Here is an 18326-nt window from a genome sequence, read left to right on the forward strand (position 1 = left end):
ACTCGTGAGGCTGAGGTGGGAGAATCGCTTGAACCCAGGAGGTGGAGGTTGCAGTGAGCCAAGATTGCGCCACTGCACTTTTTATTGGGAAAGGTGAGAACTTCTGGAGATGGTTGGTGGTGATGGTTGCACAACAGTGTGAATGTATTTAATGCTACTGAACTGTACACCTAAAAATGGCTAAATGGTAAGTTTTGTGTATATTTTACCCCACAAAAAAATCCAATGGTCCATTCTTAGTCCTTGTCTTACATGACCTCTCAGCGGTGTTTGACACAGTTGGTCGTTCACACTGCCTTCTTCATTGTTTATTTATTTTAGAGACGGCATATCATTATGTTGCCCAGGGTGGCCTCTGCCTCCTGAGTAACTGGGACTACAGGCACACATCACCATGCCCAGCTTTCCTCCTCGTCCCTTTCTCCTCCTCCTCATTTTTCTTCCTCCTCCTCCTCTCTCTTCTTCTTGTCCTTGCCCTCATCCTCCTCCTTTTTTTTTCTTCCTTCTTCCTTTTTTCTTCTCTCTCTTTTTTAAAATAAGAGCTTTATTGAGATATAATTCACATACCGTAAAAACCACCCATTTAAAGTGTACGAGTAAATTTTTTTTGTATATTCACAGAATTGCGCAACCATCACCACAATCAATTTTGGAGCATTTTCATCACCCCAAAGGGAAACCTGTACCTATCAGCAGCCACTCTCCATTTCTTTCTTAACCTAGTCCCCAGCCCTAGGCCATCATGAATCTAAGATTTGCCTACTCTGCATGTTTCATTTAAATGGAATAATATAGTATGTGGTCTTTTGTGACTGGCTTCTTTCACTTAGCATAATATTTTCAAGATTCTTACATATTGTAGCATCTATGAGTGCTTCATTTTTTTAATTGCCAAATAATATTCCATTTTATGGATTTACTATGTTTTATTTATCCGTTTATCATTTGATGGACATTTGGATTGTTTCTACTTTTTGGCTATTATGAATAGTGCTGGTATGAACATTTCTGTACATATTTTTGTGTGGACATAACATTTTCATTTCTTGCATTCTCATCTTAAAAGGTGTTTTTCTGGCTGGGTGCGGTGGCTGCCACCTGTAATGCCAGCACTTTGGAAGGCTGAGGCGGGCGGATCACGAGGTCAAGAGTTCAAGAGCAGCCTGGCCACTATGGTGAAACCCCATCTCTAATAAAAATACAAAAAAAAATTAGCTGGGCGTGGTGGCAGGCGCCAGTAATCCCAGCCAGTCAGGAGGCTGAGGCAGGAAAATTGCTTGAACCTGGGAGGCGGAGGTTGCAGTGAGCCGATTGCGCCACTGCACTCCAGCCTGGGTGACAGAGCGAGACTCCGTCTCAAAAAAAAAAAAAGGTGTTTTTCACCTACACTCTGCCACACCACTATCTAAAAATGTAAATATTAGACTCTTAATATATAAAAATCTGTTCTTTTGCTGTGTCAAGCCCCTTGACATAAGTAACTCCATCTTAGAGACTCCATCTTATATTTCATAGGGCACTTTGCGAACAGGGACAAGATGTTTGCTTAATAAATAAAGACTGCATCCAACCAGATGAGGACATCAACAAGCACACTTTTCCACTCTCAGTCCTCACTAGAGGACTGTGGCTATAAAAAGAACAGGACTTGCGCAGCTTGAAATGGCCGTCTTAACTACACCATCTTGCTGTTAATCATGATAATCACCTGGCATCTGCCACTGAAGGCTCTCGGACTGCCTGGCGCAGACCAGGAGATTCTTTTTGCCTTAGTCGCTCTCCCTGAATTGATTCATTAACCCTTTCTTCCTATCCTTCTTCTTTTGATGTTCAATATTACTTTGTTGTGGCATGTTTAATCTATAACATTTATATTTTAAGTATACTATTATGTATGATCTGCCACATTGACTGACTTGTGGAGTGGCTTGAGCCTGTGTGACTGCAGCTCTGACTATCGAGCAAATGGGAAGCACTGAGGCAAACTGCCTCCTTAGGAACTCCGTGCAGCTCGTGGCTTTTGTGATTGAGATTACTTCAAGAAAGTCAGACATTGTGGAAAGACACAAATGTGCATGGACCTGATCATCTCTGACCTCACGCTGCTCATGAGACTTGCTCTTCTAAAAGGAGGGCTTGGTCTGGGCTTTTAGAAGCACTGTGAAGGATTGCCTAGTTTGTTTCAAATAAATGTCAGGATTTTGGTTTAAAAACACATTAATTCGGCCAGGCACGGTGGTTCATGCCTGTAAGCCCAGCACTTTGGGAGGCTGAGGAGGGGAGATCATTTGAGGTCAGGAGTTTGAGACCAGCCTGACCAACATGGTGAAACCCCATCTTTACTAAAAATACAAAAAATTAGCTGGGTGCGGTGGTACACACCTGTAGTCCCACCTACTCAGGAGACTGAGGCAGGAGAATTGCTTGAACCCAGGAGGGAGAGGTTGCAGTGAGCCAAGATTGTGCCACTGCACACCAGCCTGGGCAACAGAGTGAGACTCAATCACAAAAAACAAAAACAAGACCAACCACATTAATGTTTTCTTTCCTGGGTAAAGGGCATCACTCTGATTTGTGATTTGTACTATGGAAGTGTTTTAAGAACTTCTTAGCACTCATTTTTCTGGGAGAAAAGCCACAAGCAAGCTACTTGGGCCATTTCTTTGCCTCTTAGTTCGTGGCATTACCAAAGGGCAAAGAGCCAAATTCCACTTTAAACTCTCTGGTAAGCCAAACTGAAGGCCTTAACGTTTTTTTTTAAATCAGTGCTTTTAAAGATGTGAGGGGTTAGTGGAAGTCAACTTAAAAAGTTCTGTATAATTCGTTTTTTTTTTTTTTTTTTTTTTTTTTAAGGTGGATTCTCACTCTCCTGCCCAGGCTGGAGTGCAGTGGCATGATCTTGGGCTCACTGCAACCTCCACCTCTGTAATCGCTTGAATCGAGTTCAAGTGACTCTCGTGTCTCAGCCCCCGAGTAGCTGGGATTACAGATGCACCCCACCATGTCCAGCTAATTTTTGTATTTTTAGTAGAGACAGAGTTTCACCATGTTGGCCAGGCTGGCCTCGAATTCCTGACCTCAAGTGATCTGCCCGCCTTGGCCTTTCGAAGTACTGGGATTGACAGGTGTGAGCCACTGCACGTGGCCAGCTCTGTATAATTTTGAACCTCTGAAAAATGTAAACAATCACATATTAATATATGGGAAGTTTGCTATGGAAAGTTCTATTGCAGATCCTTTTAACAAAGCAAGTACTTATTCCCTCATTTGACTATTTGATAACTGAATTTTGCATTATCTATTGCTTTAATTTTTTGTTGTTTTGCTTTGGTATTGTTTGCTCAAAGTGTAATATTTTATTTATTTTTTTGAGACAGCGTCTCACTCTGTCACTCAGACTTGAGTGCAGTGGCACCATCACAGCTTACTGCAGCCTCAACCTTCTGGGCTCAAGCGATCCTCCCGCCTCAGCCTCCCTAGTAGCTGGGACTATAGGTGCACACCCCCACGCCCAGCCAATTTTTGTAATTTTTGTAGAGATGGGGTTTCATCATGTTGGCCAGGCAAGTCTCGAACTCTTAAGCTCAAGCGATCTGCCTGTCTTTCCCTCCCAAAGTTCTGGGATTACAGGTGTGTGCCACGGTGCTGGGCCAAGTGTGGCATTTTAAACAGTCCCTTGTATTTTCTGTCCTTCAATGAATTGTATTATGGAGCTATATGTTTAAGTAAAACTCTTACTTTAAAGAGTGTGGTGAATTGGACAGTGATCCCCCAAAAGATATATCCATGTTCTAATCCTTGGAACCTGTGAGTGTGACTCATTTGGAAAAAGGATCTTTGCAATGTCATAAGTTACAGATCAAGAGGAAACTGGGCGTGGTGGCTCACGCCTGTAATCCTAGCACTTTGGGAGGCCTGGGCAGGCGAATCACCTGAGGTCAGGAGTTTGAAATCAGCCTGGCCAACATAGTGGAACCCCATCTCTACTAAAAAATACAAAAAATTAGCCAGGCATGGTGGTGTGTGCCTGTAGTCTCAGGTAGGGAGGCTGAGGCAGGACAATCACTTGAATCCGGGAGGCAGAGGTTGCCGTGAGCCAAGATTGCACCACTGCACTCCAGCCTGGGTGATAAGAGCAAAACTTTGTGTCAAAAAAAAAAAAAAAGATCAAGAGGAAGTTATCCTGATTACTCAGGTGGGGCCTAAATCAAATAATAAGTGTCCTTCTAAGAGACCAAAGGGGAGAAGAAGGAGCAGGTTATGTGGAGACCGAGGCAGAGATTGGAGTTTTGCAGCCACAAGCCACAAAATGCCTGGAGTCACCAGAAGAGGAAGAAGAAGGGAAGGATTCTTTCTTCTTCTTTTTTTTCTTTTTTCTTTTCTTTTCTTTCTTTCTTTTTCTTTTTTTTTGGAAGGATTCTTTCTTAGAGCCTATGGCTTCCTTGATTTCAGACTTGTTGCCTCCAGAAGGGTGAAAGAAGATATTTCTGTTGTTTGAAGCCACCAATTTTGATAATTTGTCACAGGCAACCCTAGAAAGCTAATGCAAAGAGGATGCTAGTTTAATGGTTTTATAAAATGAAAATTTCTTGAGTAGCAAGAAGAACGAATGTTTTTGTTCTCTGAACTGCTTGGTGCCCAGGGAGTGGGAGGGAAAGCATCCACATCCAGACAGTGTGTTTCTCTGCAGTCCTGCCCACTTCTGCCTGTTTGTCCCACCCCAGTCCCTGCCATGCTCCTGAGATGCTTGGCTCTGCTTTATTGTCACTGCCAAGCTCTTGCCTGAAAACTCCCTATTTCCCTCCTGTTAGCTAATTTCTCTTCTCCTGGACAGTCTTTCCTTTCATCCTGACTGTGGTCCATTAACATGGTACTTACATCTTCAGGTGGCCAGGACGTGGGTCCCACATTCAAAATGTAAAGGCATTCTGGATGTTTTAACAACCACCATCAATAGTGCAAGAACAAAGTTGAATGGCAGCTGACAACCTGCGTGTCCAGAAGGCAGTAGGAAGTAACCAAATCCTCTGTCCAAAGGTGCAACTTCAATTTAGCTCCAGGAAATTACCACCACAAGAGACTGAGAAACTAGTGTTGCCAGATATGATTTTAAAAGAGAAGCTAGAAACCTGGATTTTTAGGTGAATCTTTCGATTTCTAAATTAGGCAATGAAGTAACAGTAAGAAATAAAAGAAAACCTCAAGAAAACAGACAATACTATGTGCACCAAACAAAAATGCATCTGTAGGCTATGTGCGTCAATGAACTCCATTTTGTCATGGGAACCTCTGTCTTATGATATTAAAGGTGGAGGGTAAGATTACTCCATATATTTCTTGCACCTTTTTGGGCTCTTTAAAAATCTCCAGCCTGCCAGGTGTGGTGTGGATTTAGCAAAAGTTCATAGTAATCCAGGTACTTGGGAGGTTGAGACGGGAGGATCACTTGAGCCCAGGAGTTAGAGGACGGCTTGGGCAACAAGCAAGAACCCATCTCCAAAAATAAAAGATAAATCTCCAACCACACCTGCTAGGAAATGGAAGAATCACCAAAGGTTTTACAGGTTGTCAGTGTTTTGCTGAGGCTACCATGCTGAATTGAATGATACACAGACAGTTGAACATGTTAAATACTTTATTCACATTGTTTACAAACTATATCCACCTGGAAAACACATGAATCCAAAATAGATTATTTTACAGTAATTCATATTTTTTAAAACAAGTTACTTTGAAGTTCAACTCTAATAAGGAGGTCTTCAGCCTGTACAGCGATTCAGTGCCTCACCACTTGATTCCTGCTCTGGTGAAACAGAAGTCCTAGGGGCAGTCCACCTAGCTGTCAGTCACTGATAACTTACATACCAGTGATTGATGAGAAAATGTCAGTGCAGACTTTAACCTATGAACATTTATTAGTGTGAATTCACTGTCACTATTTTTGTCAAGGAAATACGTGTTATAGCGCTTGAATACACATCAGGTAGAAAGACAAAACAAAAAAGACACACAATTTAATTTGCCATTACAGAGTTGTTAGGACATTTCCGGTTTTATAAACGTTTAACATCTGGACCTGAGATGGAATCAATGAATTTCGATTTTATTGTGTTGACAGCTTGAATCACAGAAACAGCAGTGATTTTGTAATTGATGCCAGTGTCTGTTGACTAACTCTGCATATCAGATGCCAGCCATCAGTTAGAAGGGGGAATAAACTCAGCAACAATTAATAATGTGGTTAATGTTAAGTGTTTAAGTCCAGAAGGATGTCTGTGGAAGTTTTGCTGAGTGGTCAAAAAGATGCTCTGGTTAGGAAACTTTCTGTGAACCTATGTTAAATCCAATTAAGTCCCAGCTTGATGGCTTAGCTCTTTCATTAATTAAGATACTTTTCTGCCCAGGTGCCGTGGCTCACGCTTGTAATCACAGTACTTTGGGAGGCTGAGGTGGGAGGATCACTTGAGCATAGGAGTTCAAGACCAGCCCTGGGCAACATAGTGAGAACCCGTCTCAAAAAAAAAAAAAGGGATACTTTTCTATGGATTTTTGACTTTAATAATTTAAAATCTAAAGTATGTATGTCTTATATCTCACCCTCTCCTACCATAACCTGCAAACTAATCATGCTTTCCCCCACCTTTGGTGAGCTGCCACAGTTATTTGAAAACTTTTGAACCTTTGGGATGGGAGCATTGGATGTGTCTCTAATGGCAGAATTGAATAGTTTTTCTCTGATCAGCATCAATGGCATGGGCTGTTGTCATTCCACAACTCTAGGAAAATAAAGTTTGATCAAGACACCACAAAAGATCATCCCCTCATCCCCTTAGGGAGAAGAAAGGATTTCTTAAGAGTTTCTGCTCTCACCCTCCATAGACAACAACTCTGAATCCAAATGTAAGCTGAGATGTGGAGAAATTTTATCAGCATGTTTGCAGGTTAAAAAAAAAGAGAAGAAAATGAAGCCTTTCGAATGTCTATTGCAATCTGATTGTTTTAAAAGACAGAAATCCATAAAATGAGCTTGATGCCTGGAGCAGATCATAGCTTGTCTTCCTGCCACCCGTGTGCATTTTTTCCAAATTTGTACACTAACCTTCGGTCAACCCGCTCCAAAATTCCTGTTTTATAGTAGTATCTGAAAAAGCAAGCAGAAGAGAAATTCTGGGAGAGCTTGCACCCTAGGAAAACAACAGAACACAAACACTGTCTCCTCATTCCTCTCAGGTGACAAGGCTGGTCTTTGGTTACCCTGGTATTTTCATGCCCTGTTATCAACTTACACTTAAACCTTTCCCAGACATCTTGAAGACTGAACCTCACCATTCTCAGCTCAAAACGTGTTTTTCTTTGTGTGTGTGGGCGTGTGAGATGGCCTGGATTCAGAGTGATCCCTGGGGAATGCTGCCAAGAATGCTAAGGACAGCGTGTCAATTTACAAACCATAATCCTACCTGTAACTAAGAACCAAAGTTTTGTCTCATGACCTTTCCATTATCAAGTAAAAAACCTGCAAAAACAGTGTAATTTTCTACAGCCAGCCATTGTATATAACTCTTCTTGAAGGCTCATAGTATTTTATGCTATTAACTTACCTCAGGGCTCTGCTCAACTTTTCATATGTCATTCTGTCATTTTTCTTCCTTTGTCCCCACATCTTTGCCAGGGCTTCCGATTTAACCACCCGAAAAATTCCTTGTTCCCTATCTTCCCATTCCAGAATGCCACAGTTTTCTTCAGGAGATAGAAGCAGGTCTCGTACAAATTCCCATAGATGAGAACTTTGGAGGCCTTTTGAAAAGGGGAAAACATTAACTATTTACCATTGTTTTTTAAATTAATTAATTAATTAATTAATTTTTTTGAGACAGAGTCTTGCTCTGTCGCCCAGGCTGGAGAGCAATGGTGCGATCTCGGCTCACTGCAACCTCTGCCTCCTGGGTTCAAGCGATTCTTCTGCCTCAGCCTCCCAAGTAGCTGGGATTATAGGTGCCTACCATCATGCCTGGCTAATTTTTTGTATTTTTAGTAGAGATGGGGTTTCGCCATGTTGACCAGGCTGGCCTCGAACTCCTGACCTCAGGTGTTGTACCCGCCTCAGCTTCCCAAAGTGCTGGGATTACAGGTGTGAGCCACCGTGCCCAGCTTGTTTTTTTAATTTTAAGAGAAGAGATGTACAATTTCTCACTAGGTCATGAGAATTGCTGCTTTGTGGAATATTTCCCATTGTTATGACTGATTGCTCTACCTGGAAACTTACTGAGCTGTGACATGTCTGTGTCTCCCATCGAAGCAATTGTGAAACACACATTCAGAGACACCCAATTTACATGACTGGCAACACTGTGACTCACAGATGTTCTATGGAACTACAGTTTAACTTTTATGGAATGAGTGAAATGACAGTCAAATGATCTTTTCATTCTTCTTTCTGACAGGCAGCATGGTTGTACTGATTCCACAGCCACAACTGTCTGGGTGGACTGATCCTGCAAATTCGTTTTTCATGAAAGGCTGGTATTTCTCTTATTCTATGATATGGTGGTTAAGACCAGCTCTGGAGTCCCATTATCTGAGTCTGGGTCCTGAATTCACCTCTTCCTACCTTTATAACCATAAACTTTTAGGGTTGCTTCATCTATAAAATGGGATAATAAAGAGTACCTGTCTCCTAGGACAGGTTAGAGGATTTAATGATTTAATACATACCAAGTGGTTAGAATTATGCCCAGCACATAGCAATTGTTTTCTACACACACATTTGTGAAATTACAAGCTTGACACTGCTCTGGGCCGATCTCTTAGTGCTGGGGAAGCTAATAGGATTGCCAATTCCCGGTGTTTTCTTTGTTATCCTCCTCTGAGATGAAGCCACAGTGGACCCAGGATTGGATCTGGCGCCAGATGGTGGAGCCAGAACTTGAACCCAGGGGGTTTTCATTCCAAAGCTAATGTTCACAACTACGATCATGTCTTTCATAGTAGGTGTTCAATAGACATTTAATGGATAATTATTAGCTATGATTTGTTTAGCGTTTGCTATTGTCAGATGCTTAATCTCACCCACTCGTATGAGAAGAAATCAATCTGACTTTGATAATACGTATAAAAGCAATCACTGATTTCTTTACTACCTTCCTTGGGGAGTAACTGGTCCAACTCAAACATTTAGTTTCAAAGCTTATTAAAGTAGATGACTTTGTCTGAGGAATGGTTTTAAGAAATTAGAATGAAAACTGGCATCCTGCACTTACTTGTTCTACTATGACTGTGACAGTCTTGACTTTTGATGCCACTTGTTTTCAAGCAGTTGGAATCAGCATCTGAAATAGAATAATTTATAGCAGTGGAAAGGGATATAGAGGCCACATTCAGACCTCAAGTCATACCCAAATGAGCAAATACTAATTGAATGCCTTTGTAGTAGAAGACACCACATTAGGCACTTTGGGGGTGATTACTAGGTGGCAGGTGTCAAGATGCTTTAAGATGTGCCTTTGAGGAGCACTTGTATTCAATCTCACCCCACCCTGATGAGAATAAATAAATCTGGTTTTGATCGAGGTCCGTGCAGGGCCTTCCTAGGAGGCCATGGTAAGGACTTGGGACTTTATATCAAAGTGTAGAGCAAAGATCCTCAATTTAAGAAGATCTCTCTTGCTCCTGTGTGGAGAACAGACTGGAAGAGACACAAGTAGAAGCAAAGAGACTAGAGCTTATGAAGGGTAGAAAGCAAGACGTTAACTCCGTGCTGATTTAACTAATAACTCAGGCTGTGAGTCACAACCTGAGACACCAGGACAAGCATTGCCAGAGTAGTATATGAGTTTTTAAAATGGTGGCACCAGATCTGCCCCTCCAGCTCACACTCGTCTCCACCGCTTCTCTTAGCCCCCTGCTTGCTTTGCCCCAGCCACCCTGGCTTCAGGCTCTCCAGAAACGTGCAGGCACATTCCACATCAGGGACTTCGCAGTTGCTCTTCCACTTGTCCTGCACGTTGTTCCCTTGGATACTTGTGGTGCACGCCCTCATCTCAATCCTGTTTCAAAATCACCTTCCAGTGAGGTCTCCTCTGACCACTCAAGTTGGGTCTGCACATCCTCCCCACTGCTCCGCATTTTACATAGAATATTCGAGCATATTCTATGGTGTATTTATTCATGAAGTTCACTGTCTGTCTGTGCACACGAGGGGGCAGGGATTTGTGTTTCCCAACATAACCCTGCAGCACCTAGCACACTGCCGGGCATATAGTAGGTGCTCAGTATCATCGAGCAGCCACTGTGCTATGCTATAGTAACTGTACTGCACCACACTATACTAACTATACTGTTCTATACCACTCCATACTGTACTATGCTAACTATATTGTACTATACCACACCATACTGTACTATACTAACTATACTGTACTATACCACACCATACTGTACTATATTATACTAACTATCCTGTGCTGTACATACTATGCTGTACTAACTATACTGTACTGTAGCATACTATACCAACTATACTGTACTGTACCATGCTATATTAACTATGCTATACTGTACTATACTATACTACACCAACTACATTATACTGCACTATACCATACTAACTATACTGACTGTACTGTAGTATACCATGACAACTATACTATACTATATCATACTGCACTGTTCTGTACTGCACTATACTAACTATTCTATTACTGTACTGTACTAACACCATACTACAGTGTACTATACTATACTAACTGTACTGTACTGTACCAACTATACTATATTGCATTACACTGTAGTATACTATATTTACTGTACCACACTATACTGTACTATACTATATTAACTGTATTGTACTGTACTAACTATATTGTATTATACTGTAGTATACTATACTAACTATACTGTACTGTGCTATACTATACTGTACTGTATTATACTAACTATACTGCACTGTACCAACTATACTATATTGTATTATACTATAGTATACTATACTAACTATACTGTACTGTGCTATACTATACTGTACTGTATTATACTAACTATACTGCACTGTACCAACTACACTATATTGTATTATACTGTAGCATACTATACTAATCATACCACACTATACTGTAATAACTGTACTATACTATACTAACTATACTGTACCATATATTGTATTCTACTGTACATACTGTACTATATGAACTAGACTGCACTAACTATACTCTACTGTACTATACTATACTAACTATACTGCACTATACTATACTAACTATACTGCACTGTACTGTAGTATACTAACTATACTGTACTGTGCTACACTATACTAACTATACTATACTATACTATACTATACTATACTATACTATACTATATTATACTGTACAACTATCCCTGCTGCATCGTCTAGTATGTACACTGTCACTGCTGAATGAAGGAAGGGCAGGAATGACATCCTGTGCCCCACACTGCTGCTTAGGGTGACCTCTCTCAGTGCCACTGGGTCATGTCACCTCGCCAGCTGAACATCCTGCAGTGGTTCCCCATTTCTTCCAGGATGAAGGCTGCACATTAGATAGGCCTTTCACAGACTGACCCCCATCCAGATCTCCAGTCTTATCTCTTTCTGCTTCCCAACTTTTTCCCTTCCCTTAGGTCAAATGGTTCCATTGAGGCAAGGCTTTCTTCTGCCTCAGGACCTTTGCACAGACTCCCCACTCTCCACTTCTACCCAGCGGACCTCTCACAAGACCTCTTCAGGAAGCCTTCTCTGAACTGACCCTCTGGGTTAGACCCCTTATGAGCCCCATAGAGAGCACCTGTGAGTTCCTTGGTATCACAACACTGGGCCTACCTTACTGGAAAGATCCATCTCTTTTTCTCCTCCACTATCAGCTGATATTTACGGAGCACTTACTAAATGCCAAGTGCTTGGTAAGGGCTTCACATAGAGTATCTCATTTCAAACTTATAACAACCCTGGGTGATACTATTATGATTTTCATTTTATTGAGGAGGGATTGGAAGTCCAGAGAGCTTAAGAATCTTTTCCAGATGGTGGAACCAGAGAGTTCTCATTGCAAAGCTAATGTTCATAACTACTACTTTATCATGTCTTTCACAGCAGGTGTTCAATAGACATTTAATGAACCATTATTAGCTAAGATTTGTTGAGCATTTGCTATTGTCAGATGCTCACTCAACCTTCCCCACCCTTATGAGATATGTCTATTACTACCCCCAGATCGATCTGTTGTTTTGATTTAATCTTTTAGGAGAAGAGAAAACAAATGGAGTCATAAACAAAGGTGAATTATTAAGTGTGAATAGACAACAAGCGTTCACTGAAATGCCAAAATGGCAAGAAGTGGGAGGAAAAACATTGTCCTTTTGATTTTAATGATTTCTCCCATGTTTTGGATGAAGGGGATCTGGCTTGGTAGGAGGAACACAGTACAGATCAGCATGAGAGGGGTTTATGAGGCTGATGGGAATTTCTTCCGTGGGTCTTGCCGAGATAACCCTGTTCTGTCTGTTCCTAGTTCTGCAGTGATGGCTTTGAAGGTACTCATTGGTTGACTAGTCAAGGCCTTGCTTGGCTGGTGGTGGCAGGGGCAGGGGGCCAAAGTCATTACTGCAATGTTAATACTGAGGCAGGTTCCCAAATCAACCTCCACCAGCGCTGGGTGGTGGATCTGTAGCACCACCGTGAACCCACTATATTTCTCTGTAAATGCCAGTTGTGTTTCAGGGTGCAGCTCTCCCTTGCTCACAACTTTTGTCATCTTGACTATGTCCCTGCAGCTGGTGGGGGATGAGGGGAGACATGGCCCAGGCTCTCTGCAGTCTGTGGGATTTGGAGAGGCTTGGTTGGCCTTGAGCCTGGACACTTTTAAAATGTGGCCAAAGGATGTATCCTCAATTGTTTATTGCAAGCACTCCAGAAGCTGGGGTGGGGGCCTGAGTTGCAGGGTTTCCGAAACAAGTTTATCGTATCCCCATGACACTAGCAGTCCAGCCATGGAGCCCACACCCCATGCCAGGCTGGTGCAGAGAAGCTCTGAGGCTCAGGAGCAGGGAGGTGCCTGGCAGTGAACCCAGGACTGTAGGCTTGGTTCCTGGGCCCAGAACACCCTCTACTGGCATTTCTGCAGTGGAGGTGGGTGGGGAGTGGGACAGGTGGAGAGAAGAGACCAAGCAGAAAGGGAATGGGTTGTTTCACTTTGGCCAGCTCTGACAGTTTTGTAGCTTGTGTGTCTGGGCACCTTCAGTGGGCACTAAGTTGAAAATCATCCTGTTGTTTGAATTATTGTCAAGCTGGGCCCAGAACTTGAGGAGTTTCCAGGCCTTGGATCTCAACTTAGTGGGCAGCAGAGTGAATAGAAGGGCATGGGAACATGTGTGCCTATGTGAATATGTGTGTGTGTGTGTGCATGTGTGAGTGTGCATAGCACACAATGTAAAAAGCACAGGCTTTGAGGAAATGTGTTGGAATCTCACCCCTGCACTTACTTGCAAGTTATTACACCTCCAGTTTCCTCAGATGCAAATGGAGATAATAACACTCCCTAATGGAGCTAGAACAAGGATTAAATGTGATAATGTAAGCAGAACACTTGGCACAGTGTTATGCTTAGTACATAGTAAGTGCTTAATAAATGGTAAAGACAGCTATATTCATTTTCGTTGAAGACCCAATGGGAACATTGCTGAAAGCCCCAGGATGCCACTTTCCTTATTGGCCAGGTCTTGGTCTTTGGATGGGACATCAGCACTGAAAGGCAGCCTCTCATTTTTGGGTCAGGGAATATCTGAGATCAGGAAACATCACCTGAGCCATAGGCACCATGATCACGTGTCCTGGACTTTCTGGAATGGGCTCATTGTATAAACTACCAACCTGTCGTCTTCATACCTCCCCTTGTGCCCATCAAACTATCCATTAGGGTTTCTGTTTGGGGAAAGCATGATCATCAGGGTTGGGGGAGAGCCAGAGATGGTCCTCAGGGGTCTCGGGGGAAGGCCATGGTGTCCTGGCCAGGGCATTGAGGCTGGAATAAGGCAAAGCCTCTGGGGCTGGCTCTCAGGTGGACTTAAACTTCTTAACCCTGAGTTCAGTCTAGTTCTAGGCTCCCAAATGGAGCAGACAGGGAAGAGCCCATGGCACCAACCATCAGCAGAGGGCTTGTCTCCATGAGTTCATGCTCCAGAGATGCTAGCCCAGAGCCCTTGCCCCACCACTTCTATTTCTAGAAACTTCTCCCCATCTCTTCCCCATCGCTGGGTCCAGGCCACCATCATCATCACTCCTCTGGGCAGGAGCATCCTGGCTAGACTGCTTTCTGACCCAGACAATAGCAGCCCAAGAGATGTTAAAATGTAAATGTGATCTGATCACTTTCGTGCTTATGACCTTTCAGTGGCTTCCCAGCTTGCTCAGAATGAAATCCTAACTCTGCTGCCCACAAAGTGGTGAGTGATCTGGCCCTATCCTGCTCTCGGCCTCAGCTCCCACCCCTCCTTCTGCTGATGCTGCTGAGACTACTGATGCCGTGAGTGTTATACAAGTTATTACGCCTCCACTATCACAGAATTGAACCGCTCAGTAGAATCTGAGCGGTTCAAGATGGCAGCCACCTGTGGCTATTGAGCACTTGAAATTTGGCTATGCAACTGAGGAGTTGAATTTTAATATAACTTAAGTAATTAAACTGGCCCCGTGTGGCTAGTGGCTACTGTACTGGCCAAGCTAATGCTAGACTCACTGGCCTTCTTTGGTTCTTTCTCTAAGACACCAAGATTGTTCCACCTCGTGACCTCCGCACTGGCCATTCGCTGCTTGGAACCTTTTCTTCTCTCTCTTTTCCTGGGTAACTTCTTCTCATGCTTTAATTCAACTATCTCTTCCTCCAAATAGCTGTCCCTGGACCCAGTTTAAATGCAATCTTTCCCCATTACACACAAAACATGCTGATCTTTCCCTTTATAATATCATCGTGATGAGCAGTTATGTATTTATCATTTGGGTTATTTAATATCTCTACCCCGACCTTGCCTCAATGAGAGCAAGACTCAAATAGTGCTCATCACCACAGCTACAGTGCCTAGCTCTGGGCCTGGCATATAGTAAGTGTCCAATAAATGTTTGTTCAAAGAATGAAGGAAACAGGAGAGAAATAAATGGGTAAGGGGAGCAAAGGCATGAAGGGCTTTAGATTTAGACACACCTGGGTCATCTGTTGCCTTCTAAGCATGTCACCTTTAACCTCTAAGCTTCAGTTTCTACCCCTATAAAAAGGCTATAGCACTAGGGCTTGTCTCATATTGGGAAGATTACCTGACACAATGTCTATAAAGATATTAGCACAGGGCCTGGTTCATAGGAAGCACTCAATAAATGCTAGCTGTCATCCTCATCCTTATCCTCATCATCATAATCATCAGCACATTGAATCTAACTGTGGCTAGTTATATATTCAGGTTACACCTACTTCAAAAGAACTTACTGGACACACCTTCTCTTTCCATTGTATTAGCTTCCTTTTGTCGTGTGGAAGGCAGGCTGGTAAGTGATTCCTATTTGTAGGTGAAGACACTGACCCCTGGAGAAAGGGTTGGTCAGGTCTAGGTCACTACTACTTAGAGAGTAAAGCAAATGCCTGCCTGTGGCTCAAGCCTTTGGCCACAGTAATGTCTCCCAGGCTTCACAGGCTCATTTCTTCCAGGGGCTTTGACTGGGTTAGGTGTGGTGGTAAAAGCTGGGATTTACATCCCCCAGGCTGCTGCAGATGGATCACAAGGGATTCTACCAGCACCAGGAAACAGTGTGTGAGCTTTGTTCACAGGTGGGTGAGATGCTACACCCCGGGGCCCCGAGTGATGAAACCTGGCAGAATGCAGAGCTGCTCGTGTGAGGGCAGCTGCGGTCTGCAGAGCAGGGTGCACCTGCTTAAGCCCGTAGCGTGTGGTCCACGAACTGGCCATTCCTGTGCTAAAGCACCAAAAACAAAACGAAAAACGAAATTCCAAAAACTTTTGTTAACTAGGATCCAAGTAACGTGAGTCCTCAGTTGATTGTTTGGGACTGTAAGGAGGAAAAAATCATAACCCATAAGAACAGTCCCTCTGTGTCTGCCCCTCCAGCTTGCAGCCCTCAGAGGCCTTGGAAATCACCATGCGCTCTGCTCCCTCTCTGCAGATGACTGAGCTGAAGCCCATGGGGGAATGGGGTTTGCCCAGGACCACATTTCCTCCTGGCCTCTGGGCCAGGGACTCAGTAACTAATAGTAATCATCATTGTCATCTTTGAAAAATGAAAGCACCAAAGATCCCTTTCCCGAGCCTTCTTCATCTGCCCAAGTGAAACAGGGAAGGTTAATCATCAGCATCAACAAGGCTATTTGAGATCCTCCATCGTCTTATAATTATAAACTCTACCTGCTTAGTGAGCTCAGAGTCTTCTTAAGCATTATGAACCACAAGGCTTCTAATAGTATTATTAATGTATGACAAATGGATACTGGTTTGGGAGCATCTACACTGGTGGCGCATGCTGGGCTCTTTGTGTGCATCATTTCTCAAACTTACCACGACCCACAAGGGTCACACTATTTTACAGATAGGGGAATGGAGTCTCAGACGATAAGCAATCCATAGACCCAAGCTATGGTCCTACAGACCCACACCCACGCTCTTTCTGTCACACTCTTTCCACCACGCTTTTCCCCACTGCTTTCTCCAGGTCTGGGATTGTTTTGGTTCATCAGCTTTTCAGTATGATCCTAAAAGAATGGTCAAGCCCATGTACCAATGACAACCTTGACAGAGCCTTGGGTGGCTTGCGCTTGGTTACTTACAGTCTTTGATGGTGGCCTTGCTTTCTTCAGCGTCATTAAAAAAGGAGTAACCTGGGAAAGAAAAAGAAATCCAGAAACCATACCATGCAATCCTGGTTTCCACTGGCCAGGCCAGGAGAGGGGGTGTTGGAGGGAAGTGGAGTGACTGTCCCTCTTGAGGTTGGTTACAATTTAGAGGGAACCTTGGAGACCATCTGGTCTTAGAGTGTCACCCTGAAGCCATCCCTGAGAGGTGATAATTTCCTCATTATTAAAGGTCATTTGGAGGGAGCACCCAGAACCAGGCTTCCCAGCAGCCTCTGCAGATTTTCTGAGCAGGCACTGGGGAGTAAGCTCTGGTCTGGGGTCCAGGGCTGGGCTCTGAGCTGGGCCGGGCTACTGATCCCTGTGCAGCCTTGCTCACTCAGTCTCTGGGCTTGTTGGTTTTTCTCATTGACATCACGAGATAAAATACCCACTAAGCTCCCCTGTGGCTAAGAGTCTATAGTCTCTGACATGGCCTCTAATCCCTTGGGGATTGGAATGCCTGTTATGTGCTGGTCAGTGGGGAGAATGGGCATAGGAGGTTGCAAGAAGTGCAAAGCTCTATGTGAATGCTGAGTTTAATGAGGATATGGAAGATGATGTCAGGACCTTGGTTCTCTCCTCTGTAGAATGGGGTGGGCTGGGGTTGAATGAGGAGTTTGAGATTGTGTTTTCACATAGCAGTTTAGGCTGAAGGATACCTATGTCCTAGCTTGGTCCAACACGAGGACTAATCTCTACTTGCTAAGCAGACTGGAGCAGGGCACAGTTGTGATTTTTTATTCTTGGCGTCATGTTCTCATTGGTTTTGGTCAGCCACGCGCCTCAGTTGACTCTGTCCAAAGGGCCGACTGAGAACAGGATGGGAGATTGAAGAGGGGCTCATTCCCCTCCTAGGCTGTGGAAGCCAACCTCTGACCTTGCTTCCCAGCAACCAGTGTCCCCAGGTTGCTAGGCCCTTAAATCCTACTGCAATACCTACCGAGCTGGATGGTGCTGAGGCCTTACAACCCCCTTCCAGCTCCTCTCCTCCATAAAACTGCCTTATTCTGTGTCCTGTTCTGCCAGAGTCAAAACCTATGGGGTAGTATAAGGCATACATGAGGTAATAACCCCCAGTCAACTGTAGAATTTATGATCTAAATGGAGACACTTTTGAGGATGAAAGGTAGTGCTATGGTAATAATAATTACTCTAGGATCACAGGCAGAAACGATGTCTCCTGGGCAAATGGGAGACAGTGTGAACTTTGATCACAATATATATATCTCCACAATCTACAATCCACATATCTGATTGAGAAACATTAAAAGAGGAATTTCAGAATGGAGTAGATTGGTGGAGTAGATAGTTTTACTGCTCAATATGGAACACTCCTGGCCTAGAGAGTGCTTGAAATCCCACCATTAAAGGTGGCATTGTGATTGCAGGAATTCCTTACAATAAGAAGAGGTAATGTATGACCTA

At 43.4% G+C, this 18326-nt stretch overlaps 1 protein-coding gene across 6 annotated transcripts in view; it reads right to left on the reverse strand.

Moving 5' to 3' along the window:
• ELF5 (E74 like ETS transcription factor 5) overlaps nt 5618–18326 on the reverse strand; it is a 35004-nt gene continuing 22295 nt past the window's right edge. For 3 of the 6 annotated variants that reach the window (NM_001422.4, NM_001243081.2, NM_198381.2), the window contains 4 exons: nt 16836–16886; nt 9258–9326; nt 7599–7794; nt 5618–7141 (listed from right to left, as the gene is read on the reverse strand). In NM_001422.4, coding sequence (NP_001413.1) covers nt 7045–7141; nt 7599–7794; nt 9258–9326; nt 16836–16886 — 413 coding nt within the window. In that variant the 3' untranslated portion in view covers nt 5618–7044. The remainder of the gene's footprint in view (nt 7142–7598; nt 7795–9257; nt 9327–16835; nt 16887–18326) is intronic. The other 3 variants (NM_001243080.2, XM_017017308.2, XM_017017309.2) reach the window with 2 other exon arrangements.

This window comes from Homo sapiens, chromosome 11 (assembly GCF_000001405.40).
Source record: "Homo sapiens chromosome 11, GRCh38.p14 Primary Assembly".
NCBI lineage: Eukaryota > Metazoa > Chordata > Mammalia > Primates > Hominidae > Homo > Homo sapiens.